The sequence below is a fragment of the Homo sapiens genome, chromosome 14 (genome assembly GCF_000001405.40).
Source record: "Homo sapiens chromosome 14, GRCh38.p14 Primary Assembly".
Taxonomy (NCBI): domain Eukaryota; kingdom Metazoa; phylum Chordata; class Mammalia; order Primates; family Hominidae; genus Homo; species Homo sapiens.
In genome coordinates this window covers 103,655,303-103,675,266 of record NC_000014.9, presented here as the reverse complement: position 1 = coordinate 103,675,266, position 19,964 = coordinate 103,655,303, and the positions used below count along the sequence as shown (strand labels likewise).

General features: G+C 45.6%; 1 protein-coding gene across 32 annotated transcripts in view, besides 1 other annotated feature; it reads right to left on the bottom strand.

The window, feature by feature from the left end:
- The window catches only part of KLC1 (kinesin light chain 1), a 72,334-nt gene that overhangs the window by 26,278 nt on the left and 26,092 nt on the right, over positions 1–19,964 (bottom strand). For 28 of the 32 annotated variants that reach the window (NM_001394832.1, NM_001394836.1, NM_001394846.1 and 25 more), the window contains exons 3-9: positions 17,491–17,721; positions 13,073–13,151; positions 12,340–12,565; positions 5,669–5,756; positions 4,984–5,085; positions 2,080–2,253; positions 1,836–1,935 (exon numbers count right to left, since the gene is read on the bottom strand). In NM_001394832.1, coding sequence (NP_001381761.1) covers positions 1,836–1,935; positions 2,080–2,253; positions 4,984–5,085; positions 5,669–5,756; positions 12,340–12,565; positions 13,073–13,151; positions 17,491–17,721 — 1,000 coding nt within the window. The remainder of the gene's footprint in view (positions 1–1,835; positions 1,936–2,079; positions 2,254–4,983; positions 5,086–5,668; positions 5,757–12,339; positions 12,566–13,072; positions 13,152–17,490; positions 17,722–19,964) is intronic. The other 4 variants (NM_001394843.1, NM_001394851.1, NM_001394857.1 and 1 more) reach the window with 2 other exon arrangements.
- Positions 948–1,447: an enhancer, noted in NCBI's record as "H3K27ac hESC enhancer chr14:104140157-104140656 (GRCh37/hg19 assembly coordinates)". NCBI's record gives its function as "activates a minimal SCP1, AML or CMV promoter by ChIP-STARR-seq in primed H9 embryonic stem cells {active_cell/tissue: H9 hESC(primed)}" and the evidence as "EXISTENCE:reporter gene assay evidence [ECO:0000049][PMID:30033119]".

Below are 19,964 nucleotides of genomic sequence, written 5' to 3'. Positions count from 1 at the left end.
TGCAACCTCCAGCTCCTGGGTTCAAGTGACTCTCCTGCCTCAGCCTCTCAAGTAGCTGGGATTATAGGCACCCGCCACCACACCCAGCTAATTTTTTTGTATTTTTAGTAGAGATGGGGTTTCGTCATGTTGGCCAGGCTGGTCACTCCTGACTTCAAGTGATCCACCTGCCTCAGCCTCCCAGTGTTAGGATTACAGGCGTGAGCCACCGCGCCCAGCCTGTTTTCTTTTTTATATGATCCTTGTTAGATACTACTTCTTACAGCATGGACAGATTAGGTTCACACTGGAGGAAAAAGTCTATGGACGACAGAGCTGGACACCAAGCAACAGGTAAGACACAGGGTACAGAATCAATGTCCTGAGACAGGTGAGCAACTGTCAAGACACCCCAGCAAATGCTAGGGCCCTGGAATGTAATTTCTAAAATGCCAGCTGCTCAAGTAGCACAAGGGAGTATTCAGAATGTGAGCACTAAACAAAAACATTAAACAATAGTCTAAGAAAAAGTAGCAAGATGTTGCTAGCAAAAGTAGAAAAGATACAAATCAAGGCCGGGTGCAGTGGCTCACACCTGTAATCCCAGCACTTTGGGGGACTTAGGCAGGAGGATCACCTGAGGTCAGGAGTTCAAGACCAGTCTGGCCAACATGGTGAAAATCTGTCTCTACTACAAATACAAAAATTAGCCGGGCGTGGTGGTGTGTGCCTGTAATCCCAGCTACTCGGGAGGCTGAGGTAGGAGAATCACTTGAATCCAGGAGGCAGAGGTTGCAGTGAGCCAAGATCACATCATTGCACTCCAGCCTGGGCAACAAGAACGAAATTCCACCTCAAAAAAAAAAAAGAAAACAAGCATACGAATCAATATTCGTTTTAAGTCATCTTCTCGGAACACTCACGCAAGTTTCTAGACAACCAACAGACCCATGCTATGGAGGAAAAAGCCACCTTAAAAGTAATGTTTATGAAAATATTTTTATGACTGAAAGGTACTCACACTAAAAATGTAAAGAAAATAAGCAGTATACATGATGATATGGACGGTATGGTTTGAAATCTGTAAACCAAAGGCACAGAAGGAAGGAAAGACATTAAAAATGTGAAAAGATGAATTTGGGTGATTCTCCTGTTTCCATTTCTGCATGAATTGGGTAGGTCTCTGCAATGAGGACATGAAGATGGATTTGGGTGATGCTCCTGTCTCCATTTCTGCGTGAACTGTATAGGTCTCTGCAATGAGGACATGTTATGGGCTCTGGGCACTGTAATCCCAGTCTAACTGCTTCTCAGCTACGGGGCCTCACACAAGTCACTTAGTCTGTGGTGTCTTTTTTTTTTTTTGAGACAGAGTCTCACTCTGTTGCCCAGGCTGGAGTGCAGTGGCACGATCTCGGCTCACTGCAAGATCCGCCTCCCGGGTTCACGCCATTCTCCTGCCTTAGCCTCCCGAGTAGCTGGGACTACAGGCGGCCGCCATCACACCCGGCTAAGTTTTTGTATTTTTAGTAGAGACGGGGTTTCACTGTGTTAGCCAGGATGGTCTCGATCGCCTGACCTCGTGATCCACCCACCTCGGCCTCCCAAAGTGCTGGAATTACAGGCGTGAGCCACCACGCCCGGCCTGTGGTATCCTTGCTTTTAAAATGGGGTAATGTTTGACCCGCTGCACAAGACTGCTGTGAAAGTGAAGTGAAATCACACATTTAAACTATTTAGCTTAGTGATGTACAAAGTTAAGTGCTTAATAAACAGTAACTAATACTATTAGTATATTACTATTAGTCAAGTCATTATACAATTAAATTCACTTGAAACGGGAGTATATTTCTTACCATCTACAGAACCAAACTCCCTTTCATGTGCACGAGTGAGAATCTCTTTGTACAGTGTTTCTGCTTGCTTGAACTTTCCTTGTTTCAAATAGCAGGATGCCTTAAAATAAAATAAAATAAAATATTTCATATCTTTCAGATGTAAATAAAGCATACATTTTAATCTCCAGTTAAATGAGAAAGTGTTTGGACTTGGGACGAAAGCACTCCTGGCCCCCTCCCTAGTGCTGTGCAGTCAACACACCAGGTTATTTTTCGTCTTAGCCACGTTGGGGTCATCAGGTCCCAGTTTTGTCTGGTAGATCTCGAGGGCTCTTTGATAATAATATTCTACTTCTTCATACTTGCCCTGGTTCTGGCACAGTAAGGCCAAGTTATTTAACTGCTTGGCAACATCGGGGTGATCCTTCCCCAAAACCTGAAAATAAAAAACAGCATATTAGAGACACTTGTTCTGCTTCCATCCAATCCATTCTCCACCCTACTGTCACATCAGGATCTTCCTCAACATAAGCACGACTGTGCTACACTTTCAGATTTAAATCCTTAACTGGCTCGCTACACCACGTAGTAATAAAATAACCAGAATTTCTCAAATTCTTATTCATGAGGGGAGGGAGGGAACTGTGCTCATCTTCTTTAGCTGTGTTAATTACTGTAGTAATCCTTCATGGTAGTTATATTTTTGTACATTGGTTGTACTATGTACAAATGTACACATTAGGCACATTTTGAAGATAAGGAAATGGGCTTTGTAAAGGCTATGTGAGTTTTACTGCCAGCTTCTGAAGAGCCCACAGCTGTCCCAGTTGCCCAGGATGCTCTTCTCCTAGCCCTCCCTACTAGCTACGACTTATCCTTCAGGGTTCTCCTCAGTTCCCCTCAAAGGAGACTTCCCTATACCACCCCACCTCACCTAGTGAACTCACAGGCACATCACCTGGTTGTTCTTTATAAGAATCACTTCTCTAAACTACCTTGAATATTTTTTATTACAATGTAAGCCCCAAGAGTATAAATTCTTTGTCTCTCTTCTTCACCAATGTAATCTCCGCATCGAAAAAGGGGTCTGGCACAGAGATAGATGAATGAACACTAACCTCCTCCCTCAGTACCTTGAACAAGTGATGAGTTCTCTCCGCTTTGTGCCTTTACACATGTGGTCCTCAGGGAGGTAAGCTGCCTTTCTACTCCCTTCTGCATTCCCTACCTCCCCCTGCCTAGGACACTTTTAACTCAATTATTCAAGATGCAGTTCCAACACCGACCTTCCCTGAGAAACCATCCCCAACACCCCCTGGCTCTGGCCCGCAGAAGCCCACACTTCATATCCTCCCAGAGCTCTCTATTCTAGATGCTGATGTGCCCTCTGCGGTCCTCAGTCTGTCCAGTGGACTGTGTCCTAGTGGGAGGAACTACATGTCTGATCTGTAAATCACCAACTCTAAGCAGGGGGCTCTAAATGAATGAAAGGGTAAATATATGAATGAATTTGGCAGGTCATCTTATATGGTTCCTAATCCTTAATTTGATACTTTTGTGCTCTCCCTGACTTTAACTCCAGCCCACCCCAAATTCAACCATTCTATTTCAGAAATATCATGCAGATTGACAGCATGATAAAATATTACCTGTATAATTTGATAAGGAGCCCCTTTTTATTTTCTCTCCCCCAATTCCTTGCCATGTGGCTCAAAATTAACTGATAAGAATCACTGATAAATAATCACAAAAAATACCAGGTTAAAATACCATTTGTGCGGCTGGGTGCAGTGGCTCATGCCTGTAATCCTAGCACTGTGGGAGGCTAAGGCAGATGGATCACCTAAGGTCAGGAGTTCTTGGCCAGCCTGGCCAACATGGTGAAACCCCATCTCTACTAAAAAATACAAAAATTAGCCGGGTGTTGTGGCACATGCCTGTAATCCCAGCTACCCAGGAGGCTGAGGCAAGAGAATTCCTGGAATCCAGGAGGCGAAGGCTGCAGTGAGCCGAGATCGTGCCACTGCACTCCAGCCTGGGCGACACAGCAAGACTCCGTTTCAGAAAAAAAAAAACACAATTTGTGGTCACTCATCGGATAGACCCAATACCCGAATCTTCATAACATCTAAAGAGATTGTCATACACAGCACTGCTGAAATGAACAAGTTGTTATATTTTTTAATACCTAATTACCATGAACTGTAGCAGCTGGTATTAAATATATATGACATTGACTTAATCTATAGCTCTGAGTTAATCTTTAGTTATAATAATAATTATTTCATTTTTCAGCTTCATAAAGCATATTTGGTGAATTTATCTTTAATCATGTTTTTCTTATTGACAAGCACATGTTCCACTGTCAAATGCAATGCTCCCAGGCTTTCCATCTCTAGTCCTCAGACATGTCTTCTTCAATCAGAGTCACTTCTAGGCCATATCAGGCTTGGACAGCATCAGACTCAGGACTGCACCTTTCTAAATGCACACGCCTCATAACTGGACCTTCTTTTCTTTTTTTTTTCTTTAGAGACGAGGTCTCACTATGTTACCCAGGCTGGTCTTAAACTTCCTAGGCTCAAGTGATCCTCCCACCTTGGCCTCCCAAAGTGCTGGGATTACAAGCATGAGCCACTGCACCCAGCCTGTAATTGAGTCTTAAACACTGATTTGTATGGGCCAATCTGGCTTTGTTTTGTGGGCTATTCTCTAATTAAATGAGTTGTTTTCAGCTAATAGTCAGTTAAAAACACATCACAGTGGTTATTTCTCAAAACCTAAAACCGAAAAATTTTTAAAAACACAAAAAACAGCGCCGGGCACAGTGGCTCAGCCTGTAATCCCAGCACTTTGGGAGGCCAAGGCGGGCGGATCAGGAGGTCAAGAGATTGAGAACATCCTGGCCAACATGGTGAAACCCCATCTCTACTACAAATACAAAAATTAGGTGGACGTGGTGGTGTGTCCCTGTAGTCCCAGCTACTTGGAAGGCCGAGGCAGAAGAATCACCTGAACCATGGAGGTGGGGGTTGCAGTGAGCCGAGATCACGCCACCGCACTCCAGCCCGGTGACAGAACGAGACTCCATCTCAAAAAAAAAAAAAAAACCACACACACACAAAACAAAAATCTCAAAGAAAACGACTGCCCCCTTCTTTTGTACCTTTTCTCGGATTTCCAGAGCTCTTTTACACAACGGCTCTGCTTCTTTGTACTTCCCTCTTTTACCATAAAGGACTGCAAGGTTATTCAAAGTCGCCGCCACCTGTCAACACAGAGAGAACCACTAAGAATGGTAAAAGATAACCAAATAAGAGTACATTTATACACCACATATTCATTTATATTCAATCTATACAGTAAAGCATTCTTAGTCGGATAGAACAATATGACTTCAGTTAAAATGAAAAGCGCAATTCACTAGAGTATAGATTATACAAAGTAACACTGCAGAATACTAAAATTAAACAAATCAACAACGTATTCCTGACTTTTTAAAAATTTCCCTGGAAGCCACAAAGCCAACCAAAACAGATTCATATGCAAATCTGACCAGATTTTAATGAAGACAATATAATTTTCAGAAAAAAATTTCTAGAAGGACATGCAATTTGATTTACAATCAAACAATACAGTTGGTGATCCATTTGAGGTGGGGTCATAAACAAATTAAGTGTGCTCTGGCCTGTCACTAGCACTGAGTAAGTGAAGACCTCCTACCTGCACCATCTAGGGAAAAGGCAGCACTTAAACTTTCCCTGTTGAGTTTAATGGTAAAATGAGTTGGATAAAAGAAATATATGGGGAAAATAAAATATTAAAAGAATGAAAGAACTGGATATACAAACCGCAGGATGATCTTTGCCCAAAGTTTTCTCACGAATAGCCAAGGCATCATTCAGTAGGTTAGCTGCATCTTTGTATTTATTCTGATCCCTAAATGGAAAAACACACATTAAGTGTTTCAGATGTAGATCACTACAGCTTTTCTTTTCTTTTCTTTTCTTTTTTTTTAGACAGAGTCTGACTCTGTTGCACAGGTTGGAGTGCAGTGGTGCCATCTTGGCTCACTGCAACCTCCGCCTCACGGGTTCAAGCAATTCTCTGCCTCAGCCTCCTGAGTAGCTGGGATTACAGGCATCTGTCACCACGCCCGGCTAATTTTTGTATTTTTAGTAGAGACGGGATTTCACCATGTTGGCCAGGGTGGTCTCAAACTCCTGACCTCATGATCCACCCGCCTAGGCCTCCCAAAGTGCTGGGGTTACAGGCATGAGCCATCGTGCCCGGCCTCACTACAGCTTTTTTAAATGTAATTTTCAACTACAGAAATAAAAGTTAAGCTTAAACTATTTAAGAAAAACCACAGGGCCGGGTGCAGTGGCTCATGCCTGTAATCTCAGCACTTTGGGAGGCTGAGGCGGGCAGATCACGAGGTCAGGAGATCGAGACCATCCTGGCTAACATGGTGAAACCCCATCGCTACTAAAAATACAAAAAAATTAGCCGGGTGTGGTAGCAGGCGGCTTTAGTCCCAGCTACTCGGGAGGCTGAGGCAGGAGAATGGCGTGAACCTGGGAGGTGGAGCTTGCAGTGAGCAGAGATCGTGCCACTGCACTCCAGCCTAGGCGACAGAGTGAGACTGTCTCAAAAAATAAATAAATAAAAAGATGGGTGTGGTGGCTCACGCCTGTAATCCCAACACTTTGGGAGGCTGAGGCGGGCGGATCACGAGGTCAGAAGATCGAGACCATCCTTGCTAACACAGTGAAACCCTGTCTCTACTAAAAATACAAAAAAAAATAGCCGGGCATGGCAGCATGCGCCTGTTGTCCCAGCTGCTGGGGACGCTAAGGCAGGAGAATGATGTGAACCCGGGAGGCGGAGCTTGCAGTGAGCATAGATCGCGCCACTGCACTAAAGCCTGGGTGACAGAGCAAGACTCCGTCTCAAAAGAAAAAAAAAAGAAAAAAGAAAAACCACAAGCTTATGGATGGGGAAAAAACACTGGAAGGAAATCCACCAATAAATGGACTGGCAAGGTGAACTCTGGAATCAGACCCAACTAGCTTCTGAACTTAACCTTCCCATCTAGGCCACTGGGAAGATAATGTCCCCACACTACAGTGTTGTCCTGCCTATGCCAGCTGGCCAGCACAGAATAAGTGCAACAGTCTAGAACAATGGACCAAGCTTGCATTTGGTTTCAGACAGAATTAATTCTAGTGTCTGAGCTTGGGCTCTACCAGTTAATGGCTACATGGCTTTGGGTGCATTACGTGACCTCACGCAGTCCCAGCCTTCCCATCTACAAAGCAAGTATATGATCTATTGCACAGTCTTGCTGTAAGAAGATGATATGCTACATGTATACTGAAAAAATATTTTAAAAAACAACAAACAAAAGTAAATATATTGTTGTGTCTGAACTTGGTACCCAGTCTCCCTCCATTTTGTTGAGTATGGAGGAACGAAGAATCTTTCTTGATTGGAGTAAAACAGAAACACCCCAGAACCAGAAACTCTCAGTTTAAGCGTGCTACTCACTACTGATGTGACTGAGAACAAGTACTTGCTTTTGAGACTTAGCACACATCTTTCTCAATTGAGTAGTAGTAACTGCCTGGCAAGGCTTTCCCCTGAAAAACGTGAGAAAGGTTAATAAGGCTTCTACAACCTCTGAAGCACACTAATTCTGGCCACGTATTAATATATTGTTGTTTCTTCTTTCATCCTATTACATCCTATTGTAAGCTGCCTCAAACTTTTTGTGAAAGTCAGCAAGTACAAAATAGAGTTCCAAAAAGTAGTGGCCAGGTGCGGTGGCTCACACCTGCAATCCTAGCACTTTGGGAGGCTGAGGCGGGCAGACTGCCTGAGCTCAGGAGTTCAAGACAAGCCTGGGCAACACAGTGAAACCCCATCTCTACTAAAATACAAAAAATTAGCCAGGCCTGGCGACATGCACCTGTAGTCCCAGCTACTCGGGAGGCTGAGGCAGGAGAATTGTAGCAAATGCAATTTAAAAATAAGCTACCAAGGCTGGGCACGGTGGCTCACGCCTGTAATCCCAGCACTCTGGGAGGCTGAGGCGGGTAGATCACCCGAGGTCAGGAGTTCAAGATCAACCAACATAGCAAGACCCTGTCTCTACTAAAAATACAAAAATTAGCTGGGTGTGGTGGCAGGCACCTGTAATCCCAGCTACTCGGGAGCCTGAGGCAGAAGAATCGCTTGAACCCAGGAGGCAGAGGTTGCAGTGAGCTGAGATTGTGCCATTGCACTCCAGCCTGGCCAACAAGAGTGAAACTCCGTGTAAAAAAAATAAAATAAAATAAGCTACCTAAAGTGTTATGAGAATTAAATGAGGCCGGACATGGTGGCTCACGCCTGTAATCCCAACACTTTGCGAGGCTAAGGCGGGTGGGTCACCTGAGGTCAGGAGTTTGAGACCAGCCTGACCAAGAATGATAAGACCCTGTCTCTACTAAAAATAAAAAAAATTAGCTGGGCATGCTGGCGGGCACCTGTAATCCCAACTACTAGGGAGGCTGAGGCAGGAGAATCGCTTGAACCTGGGAGGCAGAGGTTGCAATGAGCCAAGATGATGCCATTGCATGCCAGCCCGGGCGACAGAGCAAGACTCCGTATCAAAAAAAAAAAAAAAAAGAAAGAAAAAAAATGGCCAGGCACGGTGGCTCACGCCTGTAATCCCAGCACTTTGGGAGGCCGGGGTGGGTGGAATCGCCTCAACCCGGGAGGCAGAGGTTGCAGTGAGCTGAGATCACACCATTGCACTCCAGCCAGGGGTACAAGAGCAAGACTTCGTTTCAGAAAAAAAAAAAAAAGAATTAAATGAGATGAGGTATATTAAACACTTCTGTAAACGATGACATATTATAAAATGTCTGGGACTATTAGTTAGCAGTGGTTCTCCGGTGTGGTCCCAAACCAACAGCAGTCAGCCTCAACTGGAACTTATTAGAAACCCAGACTACCCTAGCCCTGCTGAATCAGAAACTCTGGGAGTGGGACTAGCACACTGTGATTTGTTAAATCAAGTGGGTTTAAGAAGCCCACCAAGGGCCGGGCACGGTGGCTCATGCCTGTAATCCCAGCACTTTGGGAGGCCAAGGCGGGTGGATCACAAGGTCAGGAGATCAAGACCATCCTGGCTAACATGGTGAAACTCCGTCTCTACTAAAAATACAAAAAATTAGCCGGGCGCGGTGGCAGGCGCCTGTAGTCCCAGCTACTCGGGAGGCTGAGGCAGGAGAATGGCGTGAACCCGGGAGGCGGAGCTTGCAGTGAGCCCAGACAACGCCACTGCACTCCAGCCTGGGTGACAGCGAGACTCCGTCTCAAAAAAAACAAAAAGAAGCCCACCAAGAACTCAAATTCAAAAGAAAACAAACATAGAATACTAAAGCATTAAAATCCTAACAGAAAAATGTGCAAGGTAACAGGAAATTCACAGAAGGATACAAATGACTAAAAATACATAATCAAAGAAATACAAATTAAAACACAATGCATACTCTATCTCCACCAACGGAATAGAGCCCCCCACCTCCAGGGTGGCGCCTGTGCGGCAGAAGCATGGGCAGACACAGCCTTTCTGAGTGGCAGTTTGGCAGCAGGTACCAAGGACTATAAAATGTTTATACTCTAACCCGTCTTAGGAATTTATCCTAAAAAAAGAAATACATGGCTGGGCACAGTGGCTCACACCTGTAATCCTAGCACTTTGGGAGGCCAAGGAGGGTGGATCACCTGAGGTCAGGAGTTTTGAGACCAGCCTGGCCAACATGACAAAACACTGTCTCTACTAAAAAATACAAAAAATTAGCGGGGCTTGGTGGCAGGTGTCTGTAATCCCAGCTACTTGGGAGGCTGAGGCAGGAGAAATGGTTGAACTCCAGAGGCTGAGGTTGCAGTGAGCTGAGATCACTCCACTGCACTCTAGCCTGGGCGACAAGAGCAAAACTCCATCAAGACACAAGACAGGACAGGACAGGACAAGACAAGACAAGACAGAAAGACAGACAGACAGACAGAAAGAAAGAAAAGAAATCAATCAATCCATCCTGGCCAGGCGTGGTACCTCGCAGCTCACACCTATAATCCCAGCACTTTGGGACGTCAAGGTGGAGGATCATTTGGAGCCCAGGAGTTTGAGACCAGCCTGAGCAACATGGTGAGACTCCATCTCTACAACCAATCAATCAATCCAAAATCTTGAACAAACCTTATAAAGATCAGTAAAATATTAAAGGCAAAAAAAAAAAGCTTAAAATTATGTGTCCCTTAATACAAGAATGATGAAATAACAAGCTGAAAGGTAGAATACTGAATATGAATACATATGTAGCTACTATTTTTTTCCCAAACATCTACGCACGTGGGTCAACTCTCACACTATAATGCTAGGGAAAAACACAAGACTGACAGAGGCCATGGCATCCCCAGCACCCAGCAGTGATGTGTGTGCCCATGCACGCTGTGCACAACAAAAACCTAGTTATGCTTACTTAACTCATTTATATTAATAATATCCAGTGCTGTCCAGAAACTTCCATATGTTTTAATGGGCATATAAGTTTAAAAAAAAAAAAAAAAAAAAAAAAGCCTTGGCCAAGTGCAGTGGTTCACGCCTGTAATCCTAGCACTATGGGGTACCGAGCTGAGCAGATCACTTAAGCCCAGGAGTTCGAGACCAGCCTGGGCAACATGGCAAAACGCTGTCTCTATGAAATATATAAAATTTAGCTGGGTGTAGTGGTGCATGCCTGTGGTCCCAGCTACTCAGGAAGGTGAGGCAGGAAGATTGCTTGAGGCCAGGAGTCAGAGGTTGCAATGACCCATGATCGCATCACTGAGCAAGACCCTATCTCAAAAAAAAAATTTTTTTGCAATGAAATGTCTCAATCTAATTAAGAGCTAAATGCAAATATCTCTGACTAAGAAATTCCTGCAGTGAAATATGCAAACAATTGGCCAGGCACAGTGGCTCATGCCTGTAATCCCAGCACTTTGGGAGGCCGAGACAGAAGGATCACTTGAGGTCAGGAGTTTGAGACCAGCCTGGCCAACATGGTGAAACCCCGTCTCTACTAAAAATACAGAAGTTAGCCAGGCATGGTGGCGCATGCCTGTAATCCCAGCTACTCAGGAGGCTGAAGCAGGAGAATCACTTGAACTCAGGAAGCAGAGGTTGCGGTGAGCTGAGATTGCACCACTGCACTCCAGCCTGGGTGACAGAGCCAGACTCTGTCTCAAAAAAAAGAAAAAAGAAAATATGCAAACAATCTCAACATTCACCAACAGGAAAACAGTCAAAAAATGTCCAGAATGTCCACGAAACCCTGCTGCATAGTCATGGGGCAGACCAAGCTGCTGACAAACTACAGAGCCAAAGGGAACGGCCTCATTTTAAATAGTGTTGTTATAACAGGGGGCTTACTTTCTTATTTGTGTGTTTTTATTTTATCAACTTTCAAAACTTATTTTTAAAGAAATCACTTATGCGTGTGGGTAGTCATATCACCGCATTTCTCTTCAAGCGTCATTAGGCCCTGTACTCTCCTCTTCCTCCACGTCCTCCTCCTTGCTCAGGTTCCCCTCGCCCCACCCCGACAACCTCAATCCTGTCCCAACAGGACACCCTGCCTCCGGCTCCAGCCCCCAACTGCATCCTAGGCACTGAGCCAAAGGAACTCTTCTACCACACAACTGAGAGCCCACCACTCCCCCGGGGCGTCCTTCAACAGGGGTGAAAGGGTTCGGGGAGCACACAAGGGGCAAAGGGCAAGTTGAATCCCGGATTCCAAAAGGAGGCACAGCGCACCAGGCCTCAGAAGGCAGGAAGACACCGCCAGGCCAAGTGGGAAGGCTATTTAGACAAAAGAAGCCGCCTGCACAGGGTCTTGTGGAAAAGGTCAAAACAGCTTCGTTTGGCTGGCGTTAGGGGTACACTGTGGTCTATTCTAAACAAGCTGAACTGAGTGGTCACGGGCAGCATCTGTTCTTCTGATTCAGTGACACCCTTCCACAAAGCTTGCTAAATAGGCCGGGCGCGGTGGCTCACGCCTGTAATCCCAGCGTTTTGGGAGGCTGAGGCGGGCGGATCACGAGGTCAGGAGATCGAGACCATCCTGGTTAACACGATGAAACCCCGTCTTTACTAAAAATACAAAAAAATTAGCCAGGCATGGTGGCGGGTGCCTGAAGTCCCAGCTACTCGGGAGGCTGAGGCAGGAGAATGGCGTGAACCCGGGAGGCGGAGCTTGCAGTGAACCGAGATCACACCCCGGCACTCCAGCCTGGGTGACAGAACGAGACTCCGTCTCAAAAAAAAAAAAAAGCTTGCTAAATATTTTTAATTTAACCCCTGTTTAAAGAGAAGTGGATATGGTTGAAAAATAGTTTATACAGATACATAAAAATATATTTTAAGGGGCAAGATGGTTAAAAACATTGTCTCTAGGTAAAATTCAGTAGGTAAACAAAAGTGACTAGCCTGTACACCAAGGCCAGGATGTTGAGCATGGTGGCCACGTCCGGGTGGTCGTGTCCTGAAGTCTTCTCCAGGTCCTCCAGGGCCTGCTTGCAGAGGGGCACAGCTACCTCGTAGCGCCCCTGCGAGGCGTACTGGATCACCAGGTTGTGGAGCGTCCGCAGCCGCGCGGGGATCTCGTAGCCGCCCTGCTGGGCAGCCGCGGCTGCACTGCTGTGCTGCTGCTGGACTGCACCGAGAAAGTTCACTTCAGATGGGTTTTTAAAGACAATTATCCAGATGAGTCAGTTTCTTTAAAATTATCTTTACTAACTTTGGTTCAAGTTAGTACTTGGCCCCCAGTGCTATTTAAATCTTTTCCTAGTACTGTCTGGGCAGGCAGGGTAAGAGTAGTGACTACAGTGTCAGGGATGGCAACATGGCCACTCAGTGCCATGAGACTCCTCTTGGCGCCATGAAACAAGCAGGATAAGTAATTCTGACCTCTTCACCCTGTAAGAATCTGCAGACCACGCCTGAACTGCACGTGCATGCCGCTGTATCCTAGGGTCTGCTCTAGCATATTCCCGTATCACAACACAGATTATTTTGGAAAACCAAAGGCAACCCCGCTCTGGTGGTGCTTCCTCCAGGCAGGCCGCATGCACTAAGGCTGCCACTGATTGCTATGACCGTGTTCTAGGAGGAACACCTCTCTTCTGCACTCGGTAACATGCCTGCATCACCCATCACTCACTTCCTTGCCCTGGGTCGTCTTCATCATTGGGGAAAAGGTCATCCAGAGGCTCTTTGGTAGAATCAGTGTCTTTGTCCTCCTATAAAACAGACCCAGGACAACACTTCATCTTACACGTGCTATACACATCCTGTCCTGAAAATTTTTAATATTAAATACATTTTAACTAAGAATCTTAGAAAAGATGATCAGTTTTTAACATCAAATGTAGGATCGCCGACAATCTGGCTTATCCATCAGTTGAACAGGAGTAATGAAAAGCTTTTTAGACTAGAATACAAATACTTGAGTGCAGACCACAGTTTGACGAAATGGGCCATGGCTGCATTTCATGCCTCAGATCCTTCTCCCGCGCTTTGAGGGAGGTCTAGGAGAGCAGGGAAAACCCTGACTCAAAATAAAATCTTATTTGGGAACCAAATATGTAGCAACAGGTGAAAATGGTGCATCTCTGATCCCCAGAGAAGTGGAGGGGCTAGATTCCTCACCACCACAATCGGCTCTGGGGCAGGATCCCTGGGAGCAGTTTGAAACCTCCCAGCTTTAAAGGCCTGTGACCCATGTTTCCCTACATTTTGCTGATTAGTCAAAGAAATAAAATCAGAAACTACATAATGGAAAAGACAGGTAACAGCCTGACCAGTAAGAAATTAGCTTTGTCATGAGGCAGATGAACACTGTTTGGCTCCGGAAGGGAAAATGTGATAAAGACACATTGCTTTTAGAATATTCCTGTCTGGGATGCATAATCCAGGCATTAGACGAACCCCAACTGAGGAATGATGGACAAAATAACTGGCCTGCATTCTTCAAAAACACCAATGTCATGAAAGACAACCAGAGACAGAGACCCCATTCCACGTGAAAGGCTACTCAACAGATGTGACGGCCACATGCAGGATGTACCCCTGAACTGGACCCTGGGACACAGTGAAACAATGCCATGAAGGATGCTGTTGGCAGTTAACAAAAGGAGAGTATGAGCTGCAGAGGAGAGGACATACTGGGTCTGTGTGCAATTTCCTGAGTGCCCTTGGCCCTGGACTGCCACAGGAGAACCCCTCACCCTAGGGAAAGACGCCCAGCAGCAGTAAGCAGCCGTGGCACATGCTATGCCACTATGTGAACAGGTTTCAGAAGAAACAGGCACTCGTAAGTACTCTGGAAAGGGTAAGGAGAGCCAGCTCACTGGATGTTTTCTCCAAGTTTAACACTTTTTCAAAATAATAAATTTTAAAAGTCTCCGATCCTACGAAACCAGTTTTCTTCTTCTCAACATCCTCCAATGTCCCAGGTCAATCACTGCTGGCATCGACATCTGCAAAGTACTTGCATTTCCATAGCACTCTAGAGCAAGCATCTTTTATTTATTTATTTATTTATTTATTTATTGCTTGTTTTTCTGAGACAGGGTCTCCCTCTGCCACCCAAGCTGGAGTACAGCGGCATGATCTTGGCTCACTGCAACCTCCAACTCCCAGGTTCAAACAATTCCATGCCTCAGCCTCCCAAGTAGCTGGGACCACAGGTGCACTCTACCACACCCAGCTAATTTTTTTGTATTTTTTAATAGAGAAGGGGTTTTGCTATGTTGGCCAGGCTGGTCTTGAACTCCTGGCCTCAGGTAATCCACCCGCTTCAGCCTCCCAAAATGTTGGGATTACAGGCATGAGCCACCGCATCGGCCTTAATTTTTTTTTTTTTTTTCTTTTTTGAGACAGAGCTTTACTCTGTCATCTAGACTGGAGTGCGGTGGCATGATCTTGGCTCACTGCAACCTCCATCTCCTGGGTTTAAGCGATTCTCCTGCCTCAGCCTCCTGAGTAGCTGGGATTACAGGTATGTGCCACCATGCTTGGCTAATTTTTGTATTTTTAGTAGAGATAGGGTTTCACTATATTGGCCAGGCTGTCCTCCAACTCCTGACCTCAGGTGATCTGCCTGCCTCGGCCTCCCTAAGGGCTGGGATTACAGGCATGAGCCACTGCGCCCAGCCACATCTTTTAAATCAAAACATTTAGTTGGCCCCTAACCTAGAGGAGATGTGAGGGAGGATTTTGGTAAGCCTTTTGAAATAGCATGCTGTCAACTAAACTGTGTTCTCCCCAAATTCCTATGTTAAAGCCCTAACCCCCAGTGTAATGGTATTTAGAGATGAAACCTTTGGGAGGTGATCAGGATAAGATGAGCTCGAAAGTGTGGGGCCCTCATGATGGGATTAGTGCCCTCATAAAAAGAGACACCAGAGAGCTTACTCCCTCTCTCTCTGTACCATATGAGAACACAAAGAGATGGCAGCAGTCTGCAAGCCAGAAAGAAGGCCCTCCCCAGAACCGGACCCTGCTGGTACCCTGATCTCGGACTTCCAGAACTATGAGAAAATAAATGTTAAGCCATCCAGCCCGTGGTATTTGTTACAGTAGCCCAAGCAGATGAAGACAGAGGGGAAATGCAGGTTTGCTGGTGCTACGCAAAAAACTGTTTCAGTAGTCTTAGGATGGGGATTCGAACGAGACACACAAATGTGCACCTCTCTAGTATTCTGATTATGTACATGAACATGTCTGGCATCATACAGGTATTTAAAAAACGTTAGTTCCAAATGCAATGTGGAACACTGGACTAGGTCCTAGCACAGAAAAGAGATACTAGTGGAAGGCCTGGTGACATCCAACCAAGTCTGTGTTTCAGTTAACAGTAAAGTGTTGATGTTAATATCTTAGTTCTGACCACTGTTCTATGATTATGGACGATCAGGGGAGACTGGGTTATGGGCACATCAATTTTCTTCTCTAACTTTTCAACTTTTCAATCAATTTAAAATTATTCCATTGGAAACTTGAGAGGAGGGTAAAATTTTTAAAATTAAAAATAAGTAAAATAAAATAATTCCAAAATTTAGAAATTTTCTTTAAAAAGAAGTTAACTGAAGCCGGTCGTGGTGGCTCACGCCTGTAATCCCAGCACTTTGGGAGGCCGAGGCGGGGGGATGACCTGAGGTCAGGAGTGGCCAACATGGTGAAACCCCATCTCTACTTAAAATACAAAAATTAGCCAGTCGTGGCGGTACGCACCTGTAATCCCAGCTACTTGGAAGGCTGAGAAGGGAGAATCGCTTGAACCCAGGAGGTGGAGGCTGCAGTGAGCCAAGATCGCGCCATTGCACTCCAGCCTGGGGTACAAAAGCGAGACTTCGTCTCAAAAAAAAAGTAAAAAAAAAAATAAAAAGAAGTTAACTGGCTGGGCGCAGTGGCTCACACCTGTAATCCCAGCACTTTGGGAGGCCGAGGCAGGCAGATCACAAGGTCAGGAGATCAAGACCATCCTGGCTAACGCAATGAAACCCTATCTCTACTAAAAATACAAAAAATTGGCCAGGCGTGGTGGCACACACCTGTAGTCCCAGCTACTCGGGAGGCTGAGGCAGGAGAATCGCTGGAGCCCGGGAGGTGGAGGTTGCAGTGAGCCAAGATCGTGCCACTGCACTCCAGCCTGGGTGACAGAGTGAGACTCCATCTCAAAAAAAAAAAAAAAAAAAGTTAACTGAATCAGAAATAAATGTTGAATGAAAAATAACTGAGACTAGGATAAACATCCAAATAGAGCCAACAGAGAAAGAAGGCTGGGCATGGTGGCTCCCACCTGGAATACCAGCACTTTGGGAGGCTGAGGTGGGCAGATCACTTGAGGCCAGGAGTTCAAGACCAGCCTGGCCAAAACAGTGAAACCTCATCTCTACTAAAAAAAAAAAAAAAAAAAAAAAAAACTTAGCTGGGCATGGTGTCACACACCTGTAATCCCAGCTACTCCAGAGGCTGAGGCAGGAGAATCACATGAACCCGGGAGATGGAGGTTGCAGTAAGCCAAGATTGTGCCATTGCACTCCAGCCTGAGTGACAGAGCGAGACTCCTTGTAAAAAAAAGAAGAAGAAGAAAACCAAGATCGTTTCTTCCCCTGCAGATACAGAAAGATAAGCTGGCAAGGGAAGCCAAGGGGAGGATGAGAGAGGCGGCAAGAGAGCCAGGTGGTGTCCAGAGGGCCAGGGGAGTTTCAAAGAGAATGGCAATGCCAAGAGCACCCACCCTAAGGGGCAGAGAGGTTGCCCAGAGTCCAAATTCAGACGGCCAGATTGGACCACTGCTAGACCAGCAGCTGATGGCATGGAAGCCAAGCTACAGAGGGGCAAGGAAGCTCCAGAGCCTAAGCTGGGGCAGACCTCGGGACAGACCTCGGGGCAGACCTTGTTGAAGGTAATGGTGTCTCTCTGGATTGTGGCTTATATTTACAAAACATTTTTGCATGTTCTAATGTTCTAATATGTTCTAATATGAAAAGAATATGGCAAACAGAACCTCTATGACTTTCCCAGTGACTCCATTTTAAACATTAGCACCACATTTGCTACAGAGCCACTCACGGATGGGGAAATGTCGTCATCATATTTTTTTAGCTGATTCATAAACTCCAGATGCTTCTTCTCCTCCTCCAGTTGAGCCACAGACTGCTCACTCTTCTGCAGTTTCTGCTGCGTGTTGGCCAGTTCATCCCGTAGCCACTGATTCTCCTGGCACAGACGACGAACCTGCGCACGCAGTTTCTGCTTCTCGGACTCCACAGCATTCAGGTGATTTGACAAAGCCATCATAACCTGAGCAGACAGAAACGTGTGCAGCACTGTGGCACGTTGTCCAGCAAGAGTCCCTCCCACCCGTGCGAACATTCTGTGGCTGGGGCTGTAGCTTACACTCGCAGATATTTTCTCCAAAGTACATATAAGTACAATCTGCCATTTACTTCTCTTTTCCCCTTCAGCCACAGACTACAAAGCAGGGTATGATAAAGAATATCACACGCTCAGAATGCCTACAAAAAAATACTTATTTTTTTGAAGAGCATGCCAAATGAACTAGCAATGAAAACACAGCTACCCTTCTGATGAAACTGTATTATTTTACTTTCTATCAAGATGGGCCCAACATAATTTTTTATAGACCCTTTCCCATGTGTAAGACCTCGTGTACACACATGCATGTCTGCGCACAGAGTGCATGTTGGTGAAGGGCTGCAAGTGGGGGTCAGAGAACAGTGCACATACAAATCTTCCTTGATGTTCCAAGGTGAGAGAAGACATCTCTGTAGCTACCACCAAGAGTAAGAATGCACTGGTGCACTCATAAGCTTATGTTTATGTCATAAAATCCAGGGGCCACTCCAGGGCTCTGCCTACAGAGTGCTCACTGGTTTCTGGAACAGACCAGCGTGAGGCTGTGGCAAGTTCCTAGGAGCATAAGAGCACAAACAGCTAGGAGCTGGCTGGCAGCAATCTGTTCTCTCTTTAGAACATACATCTGCCCATCCCTCTCATAACATAATAACCAGGTTATTATCCTCCTAGGTTTAAAACCTGAAACTCCAGAAGGTGGGACCTTTTCTTCCTTCTTTTTTTAAAACTCTTATCTGCGACACCAAAAAAGCAAGTTTAAATTCATGTCACCTGTTCTCAAGGTAACAGAACTTGAGAAATAATACGTTCACAATATCCAAACAGAGCTACAGTTCTGCAACTCAAGGCTGTAACATGGTTAGGATGAAGACTCTAAAATCAGGGTGTGGGCAGTCACTTCCTCTATGAAAGCAGAAACCGCTGGCCAGCAGCCCCTCTTCTGCTCTATTCACTCACTAAACTAGAGAATGCTAAGAAAGAAGCAAAGCTTTGGTATATTTAATTTTACCTAAGATATGCTGACAGAGCCAGAAGTTATCAGGAGAGAGTATTTAAAAACCTAGATGTTTCCAGTGTTTTCATCTCTATGTCAAGCATGATATTATAGAAACAAAGGTTAGTCAAAGATATGAAGCAATCTGGCCCTGGGATTGCAGAGACCATCACCCACTGGCCAGTGTCCATTCTCCTTCCTTAGGCTTAAGGACCTGCCACTGTAAGTGGGAAGACAACATTCCCCAGTCTCCCACTCACCCAGGTACAGCCATAAGGTCTGGCCAATGCAATGTAAGCACTGCTGTACACATCATCAAAGCAGCAGCCTTCAAGGAAGGAGGCACGTCCTTCCTTTCCCTTCCCCTATGCTAGAACAGGGCCACATGGAGCTCACTCTCAGTCCCCAAGACAGGCTGCCAAGGTGCAGTGTGGCAGATGTTAGGAACCTGAGTATCCCCGATGACTGTGTAGCTACAGAACCCGTCCAGGAGAGTGTACCTCAGTACTTATTTGACAAACATCTTGTGGTTTAAGCCACTGTTTTTGTTTTTTTGATACTGGCAGCCAAATCAAATCCTAAATGATACACAGCAGTATCCACTATTTTGGATCCGCTTTTCAAAATTCAGAGAGGCCCTGAGGTCAGGAGTTCAAGACCAGCCTGGCCAACATTTTAGTTTCTACTAAAAATACAAAAAATTAGCCAGGAATGGTGGTATGTGCCTGTAATCCCAGCTACTTGGGAGGCTGAGGCAGGAGAATCACTTGAACCCGGGGGACAGAGGTTGCAGTGATCTGAGATTGAGCCATTGCACTCCAGCCTGGGCGGCGAGAGCAAACACTGTCTCAAAAAAATAAAAATAAAAATAAAATTCAGAGGCCGGGCATGGTGGCTCGCGCCTGTAATCCCAACACTTTGCTGAGGCAGGTGGATCACGTGAGGTTGGGAGTTCAAGACCAGCCTAACCAACATGGAGAAACCCTGTCTCTACTAAAAATACAAAATTAGCCAGGTGTGGTGGCCCATGCCTGTAATCCCAGCTACTTGGGAGGCTGAGGCAGGAGAATCATTTGAGCCCAGGAGGCAGAGGATGCAGTGAGCCGAGACTGCATCACTGCACTCCAGCCTGGGCAGCAAGAGCAAAACTCCATCTCAATCAATCAATCAATAC